Raw genomic sequence first — 6,658 nt, 5'->3', positions numbered from 1 at the left:
TTAAAAGATTCTCGAAATTCAGCAAAGCAAGAATCAAGGAGAGTTCAGTGCCAGTGGAGCTGTCAACTGCAGGAGCCATTTCTACTAGGACCACTGATCCACAAAGTGGGTTCAGCGAAAGCAGAAAACCCATTTTAATCATGGTTTTGCTCAGCATAGGTGGTGACTGTGATTCCAGCTTCCCAGCCACTTTCGCGTTGCACTGAGGATTACTTGGTTGTTTTACTTACCTGAAGGGCACCTGGAGTCTTTGAGCTGGACAGGTCCCCAGAGGGCCACGTGCCCACTCCTCGCCTTAGAGCTCTGGGTCAGGAAGCCTTCTTCCTTGGATGACCCACCTCCTGCTACTGCCCCCGCCACTGGCTCCTGCCCCAGGTCCCCTGTCCCGACGGAGCCCAGCCCAGCTTGGGCTTCCCCTCTGGCATCTCCTCTCGCTATGGTCACAGGAGCCCAGGGTGGAAGGACTGGCAGAGGGAAGGGTGACCGGCCTCCCTCCAGACAGGGGTTCCCTCCAGCGAGAGCCCAGCCCCCTCCTGCGACCCAGCCCAGCCTCCCCCAGCCCCTCCATTGTCCCTGGCCGGCCCTCCCTGCGGGTAGGCAAGAACCTGCTTTCTGGGTTCATGTGTGTCTTCCTTGGACTCGTGCCCTTGGCTATAGCTTTGCCACGTCAAATCATGTCCACTCTTTTCTCTGCACCATGCTGCGGAGACATGGTGTGTGTTTTGTTTCCTTTGGGCCCTAAACCTTGAAAACACTGAAAGACACAAAAAGGAAGGTAAAAGTCACACAGCATGCAGACGCTTGAAAAGTAAGACATGAAAGTCAGAGTGAAGGTTCCTGCTCCTTCCGTCTTTCCCCACTCTCCAGAGAGAACCATTCTTAGCTGCCAGGGACATTTTCTTCCCTGCTTGGTACTGTGCATGCAAACACGCACTCACACACTCACGCACTCACGCGCACACACGTGTTCACACACACGCACGCACACACACATACACACACGTGCATGTGCACAAACACCACACTCACCCACTGCAAACATTCAATGGGATCATAGTCTACAAACTTCCCACCCTTATTGCAGTAATTTAATTTGTTACTTAACGAAATGTCTGGGAGCGGTTTTCAGTCAGCACTTACTGGCTTACTTCATTCTTTGTAGCTGCTGCATTCCGCAATATGAATGCGCTCTAATTTAACTAATTATAGATTAATACTAATAACAGAAAGTAATAATACACATAAACAAAAATAAAATCTAACTAAAATAAATCATAATTTCATCAGTCTTTGAGTACTTTGCTGTTGAAGTGGCTTCTGGCATTTCTTTTTTACCACAGCCCATGGCACAGAGCACATCCTGGCATAGAGCACGGCATGCCCGGCTTTTCTCACTCCCCTGAGCACCCCTGGAGAGGAGGCCTGGGGTGACCTGGGAGGGGCAGAAATCCAGAGAGCAGCCCCGTCTAGGAGACTCTTCCGTTGAGAACCATCTGCTGTCAGTGAGAGTAGCCCATCCTCAGGTGAACAGTGGCGGGGCCCAGTGGCTTCCTAGAGCTCAGACAGTGGCTTTCCAGCCTGTCTGGACCACAGGGAGCAGCCCTCAGAAGAATTTGCTGGCAGCTCTTAGGAAGGGAGTGTCCTTCGAGGAGTCACCAAGGTCTGCAACTTGCCTTAAATAGAGGCGAACACGGGACTCAGAAAGTCCCAGGAGAGGCCAGGAAGGCACCGGCCGGCCGTACTGGGACTCACCCACCGAGGGGAGTGACTTCACCAGGTCACTCAGTTCCTCAGGTTCCCAGCGGAACCCAAACCCTGACCGTTTATGTCTTATGTGCCAACCCTAGAGATGGCATAGGTCTGGGCAATGTTGCTTCAGTCAGATCTGCTGAAAAGGCAGCTCCTGCTATGCAATTACCAGCGTGTGAATGGGTCTCAGGCTGACTCCAGAGGCCAGAAACTTAGAGGGTTGGCTTGGGTGGAATTCCGTGACCACGCCTTGCTAGAGAGACATGTAAAGTGGGCAATGGGGCCTGAGATTGGTGGCCTTTGAAACACTGCTCCCCTTGCCCCGCCACCACACACACACACACACACACACACACACACACACACACACACACACACAGAGAGACTGGGCTGGGATTCTGTGCTTCTTTGTAATAACTCGGAGAGGGCATTCTTTGGGGCCCTCAGGCCTCCACATTTAATCTGCGAAACCACAGTCATCAAAGTGAGTGAGTCATCTTCAGGGAGTGAGATGGGGAATCAGAGTCAGAGAACCCGAGAATGCTACCACTCAGCTGACCTAACCTTCCACCTAATCCCATCGTCACCCCAGGCGAGTGTAGCCACATCCCAATGACTCCTGACTGGGGTGCAGCCCAACGTCCAGCCTGCACCACGGTCGCCCTCTCAGTAGAGCAGGACGGAGGTCACCGCTGCCCAGTCCGGTCAGGACGCTCCATCATCCCCTGCCTGCCAGCTGCAGCCACTCTAGGCTGCCAACTCCGCGTCTGCCACCACTGCCCTTTCCAGGTATACCAGTGCACAGGCCAATGCCACTGCCAGGCCTCAGAAGCTTCCAATCCTTGGAAGGCCAGCTCGGCTTCTTACGGGAAACCACAAAACAGGAAACAGGACCCCCAGACAGCTCTGTCTGAGCTTAGAATCACACACTCTCCCTCGAATCACTCCAGTAGCTTCTGCCTCTGCCTCCACCCCCAGAGGGGCTCCCAACACCGCACGGTGGTGCCTTTCCAGCCCCTCCACCTTGCTCTTCCCCCTTCCTCCTCTCAGGCACCCATCTCACGTCAGCCACAGTTGCTAAAGCAGAGCTCTTCTGCTTATAATGGAGGCACAGGCCGTGGAAACCCTATTGTTCTCAGCACCCAGGGAACAGGCTTTGGGAGGTGCCCTATGAGGGATCTTGCCTTGCAAGTGGGAAGCATGCGGGACTGTTCCAGAGTTGCTGAGACTTCCTGAACTAAGCCAGCCAACAGCAGAAACCCAAGGACACTGTGGGAGACAGATGGCCTGGAGGCCCAGGTGGCATTGGCCCATGCACTGGTGTACCTGGAAAGGGCAGTGGTGGTGGACGCGGGGTTGGCAGTCTAGAGTGGCGGTGGCCGGCAGGCAGGGGACGATGGAGCGCCCTGAGAGTGCCTGCTCAGGGAGACCTTGGGGCGCCTTCGGCAGGCAGCTTTCCGGCCAGGATTGCCTCGGCATAGGGCCCCGAGGGAGGAATGGAAAGGGAAGAAGATTCCAATAGAAACCGAACATTTCGAAAGAAAGGCACCGCAAATGACACCTCAGTAACTGTGGCTGTTGCCTTTGCAAATTTCTAGACATCCTAAAGCAGCGATAGCTCAGGTACCACAGCTCTCAAAATTACCCAGACTTTCTACACCTCCCTCAACTTAGATACCAATTAGAGATCACCGATTCTGATAGGGTCTGGGGCAACGTGGGACTGAGTTCTGGGAACATAATTCTACTGGGATGGGACACTGGCTTGTCTTCTACATTTGGTGGCTATAGGGCCGGGGCTAGATATTCCTGTGCATCCTATGAACTCTTTAAAGGGGAAACTCACAGTGAGTTGGCATTTAAATAACCCAACTGCCGAGGCACTGAATAAACAGCACCCATTCCTGTGGATGGTGGTCTAGACTGCAAACCTCTGGGCCCACAAGCCATCGAGAACATCTAGCTGAGTGGGAGCAGAGAGGAGGTTGGAGAGAGTGATTGGGGACTTCAGTTTCTTCCAACATAGCTCACAAGATCAAAAGACTTTGGGGGGTGGGGGCGGAGGTGGGGGGCACGGCCTTCCTCTAATGCCTTTGAGCTTCAGCTTGCCGGGAGATTTAATTTTATTTTATCTTATTTTTTTGAGAAAGGGTCTGGCTCTGTCGCCCAGGCCAGAGTGCACTGGCACGATCACAGCTCACTGCTGCTTTGCCCTCCCAGGCTCCAGCGATCCTCCCATCTCAGCCTTCCAAGTAGCTGGGACTACAGGTGAACACCTAGCTTGTTGGGAGAAAAGCTGAGTGTTGGGAGACAAGCTGAGGCAGGGCTTGCATGTCTGATATAATGTAAAAGTCTTGGAACATGTCCGGGGTCCAGGGTCTAAAACCCCTCGTGGCCTTTGGAACACCAAGCTCTGTGGTAAAGGGTAGAAGGCTACCCTGATGCACCATAATCTCAGCCCAGGGCATAAAACCCCTCGTGGCTTGGATAGAATCCAGGGCTCGTGGCTCTGGAATGTGTCTAGACTTGCTGGCTCCTTGCTCCTTGCTCTCCCAGGATTGATTGTATCTTGAGTTAAAAGAACCTGTTCTCCATTATCTCAAGTAGCAGAGCATATCCTAAACCATCACAGCTGTAAATCTTGTGCTTAATGCAATGCGCCCTTTCAACCCCACATTCTCACCACCTGTTTCTTTGATCACCAATAAATAGTCTGGGCTTCCAGAGCTCGGGGCCTTCACAGCCTCCATACTTAGCGATGGCCCCCTGAACTCACTTTCTCTCTCAAACTGTCTTTTCTCATTCCTTTGACTCCGCTGGACTTCATCACGCCCACGGCCTGGTGTTGAGTCCGATCACCCCAACACCGGCTAATTTATTTTTATTTTTTTGTAGAGACAGGGTCTCCCTATGTTGTCCAGGCTGATCAGGAGAATTTTGAACTTTATTGTCTCTGCAGGTAATTCTTCATGGGAGAGGGTTTACATTTGGGACATGTGCTATGTTGGACTCTCATTGTTAGAATATCTCATAGATGCCATTTGACCTTGTTGCAGAACCTCTGATGAGATATGTTGGGCAACGATGGCCAGAAATAATTTGGGATGAGGAAACAGAGTAAGGGGTAAACTTTTGGCTGTGGGTACACCATAGACTTACTAGTTAAGCCCAATGGGTTAAGAGGTATGTATCTGACCATTTTCATACTGCTACTGTTGTAGGACTTTCTGCTCAGTTCAGCTAAAAACTGGGTTCTTGTCACATGACCAGGAAAGATTTGGCACACAGACATTTTGAAGGGTGAGGGGTTATGGAATATATTGGGCAAAAAGGAAAAAGACTCTCAGCAAAGCCAGAGGGGTTCCTGTTAACAGGCCCCCATCTCACAGGTTGAATCCCAGGTTACCGCACAGGAACAGGAGGGGCCAGGCTCCTCCCGCCTGGAAATGGCACAAACTTCCATGGCGCTACCCTGTTCTCCCAGTGCCCTAGCCGGTTGGAGCTTCTCCAGGGCCCCTTTCTACTTGGCTGTTTCACTATGAAGAAATACCCAACACTGGGTAGTTTATAAAGAAAGAGAGGTTCAATGGACTCACAGTTCCACGTGGCTGGGGAGGCCTCACAATCATGGCGGAAGGCGAAGGATGAGCAAAGGCATGTCTTACATGGCGGCAGGCAAGACAGCGTGTGCAGGGGAACTGCCCTCTGTAAAACCATCAGATCTCGTGAGACTTATTCACTACCGTGAGAACACCATGGGAAAGACCCGCCCCCATGATTCCATTACCTCCCCCTGGGTCCCTCCCATGACCCGACCCGTGGGGATTATGGGAGCTACAGTTCAAGATGAGATCTGGGTGGGGACACAGCCAAACCATATCAAGGTACAAAAATTTGGGAAACATTAGGTGTGCATGTTAGGGCGGTAACTCTTCTCTCCCCCAGTCTCCTTGAGGAAGGATCAAGTGGTTAATTTGTCAAAAGTTCTCACTGTGGGAGATCTGGCCTCTTTTTCCTTTCCTTCCTGCCCAGTTTGGTGGCAGGCAGCAATATTGGGGATGTGAACCTGTTCTACAGACCCAAAACCTTCCTCCAGTGGACCGCTCTAAGTCTAGACTAGGGGGCTTGTGAGGAATTAGCAAGCCCATTTGGCTCTTCTAACAAGCCCTGTCCACCAAGGCTGCTTCCCCATCTGCTGGCACGTTTGTGGAATTTCTCAGTTGGTTAGGAACCCTGGCAGGCAGGGAAGAGGTGCTATTTATTGGCCCCTCCCTACTCCCCCAGATTCTCAACTTCAGTGCTAATGCTTGTAAATTGCTTAGGAATTCTGGTGCTAAATATGCAGGAATGCAATTCTGGTTGCAGGGGAAGGCGGTGAGGGGGGAGGCTCAGAATTCCTCTGGCTTCTTAACTAGCACTTCTGGTTTCTACGGTGAACTCTGGCCCCCCTCCCCTCACCATGGTGCTCCACCCCTGCCTGGAGGGGATGAGGAAGCCACAGCTGCACCCACAGCCTCAACACTAAGCTCTGCTCAATAGAACCCTCTGCAAGTACCAGGTTGAGATATGATGAAGCAATCTGGTTGATCATTTTTTTGTCTCACTTGAGCTTACTCATTACAGTCCATTTGTGTTTTGAAATGGTTAGCTACAGATTTATAGATGATTTTTATTACCTTGTTTTGTAGTGGAGGCAACCACAAAGAATTCCATAGTTGCAATTGCCTGAAGGCAGGTAAGTATTGGAATTCTGGGTCTGCCAGGTGCCCACTCACTTCCCTCAGATGCTAAGGCTCTGCAGATCTTGGAGCAGGTGCGGGAGGGGTGATTTGGTCTCAGCCACTCCAGATTTTGGAGTTCATGTGGATATCTTGTCACCACTTAGTTTTATTGTGGATGCTGCCCTCGG

At 51.7% G+C, this 6,658-nt stretch overlaps 1 annotated feature.

The window, feature by feature from the left end:
• Positions 5,145–5,732: an enhancer, noted in NCBI's record as "H3K27ac hESC enhancer chrX:153825347-153825934 (GRCh37/hg19 assembly coordinates)". NCBI's record gives its function as "activates a minimal SCP1, AML or CMV promoter by ChIP-STARR-seq in primed H9 embryonic stem cells {active_cell/tissue: H9 hESC(primed)}" and the evidence as "EXISTENCE:reporter gene assay evidence [ECO:0000049][PMID:30033119]".

This window comes from Homo sapiens, chromosome X, assembly GCF_000001405.40.
Source record: "Homo sapiens chromosome X, GRCh38.p14 Primary Assembly".
Lineage (NCBI taxonomy): Eukaryota > Metazoa > Chordata > Mammalia > Primates > Hominidae > Homo > Homo sapiens.
This window is presented reverse-complemented; position numbering and strand designations above follow the sequence as displayed.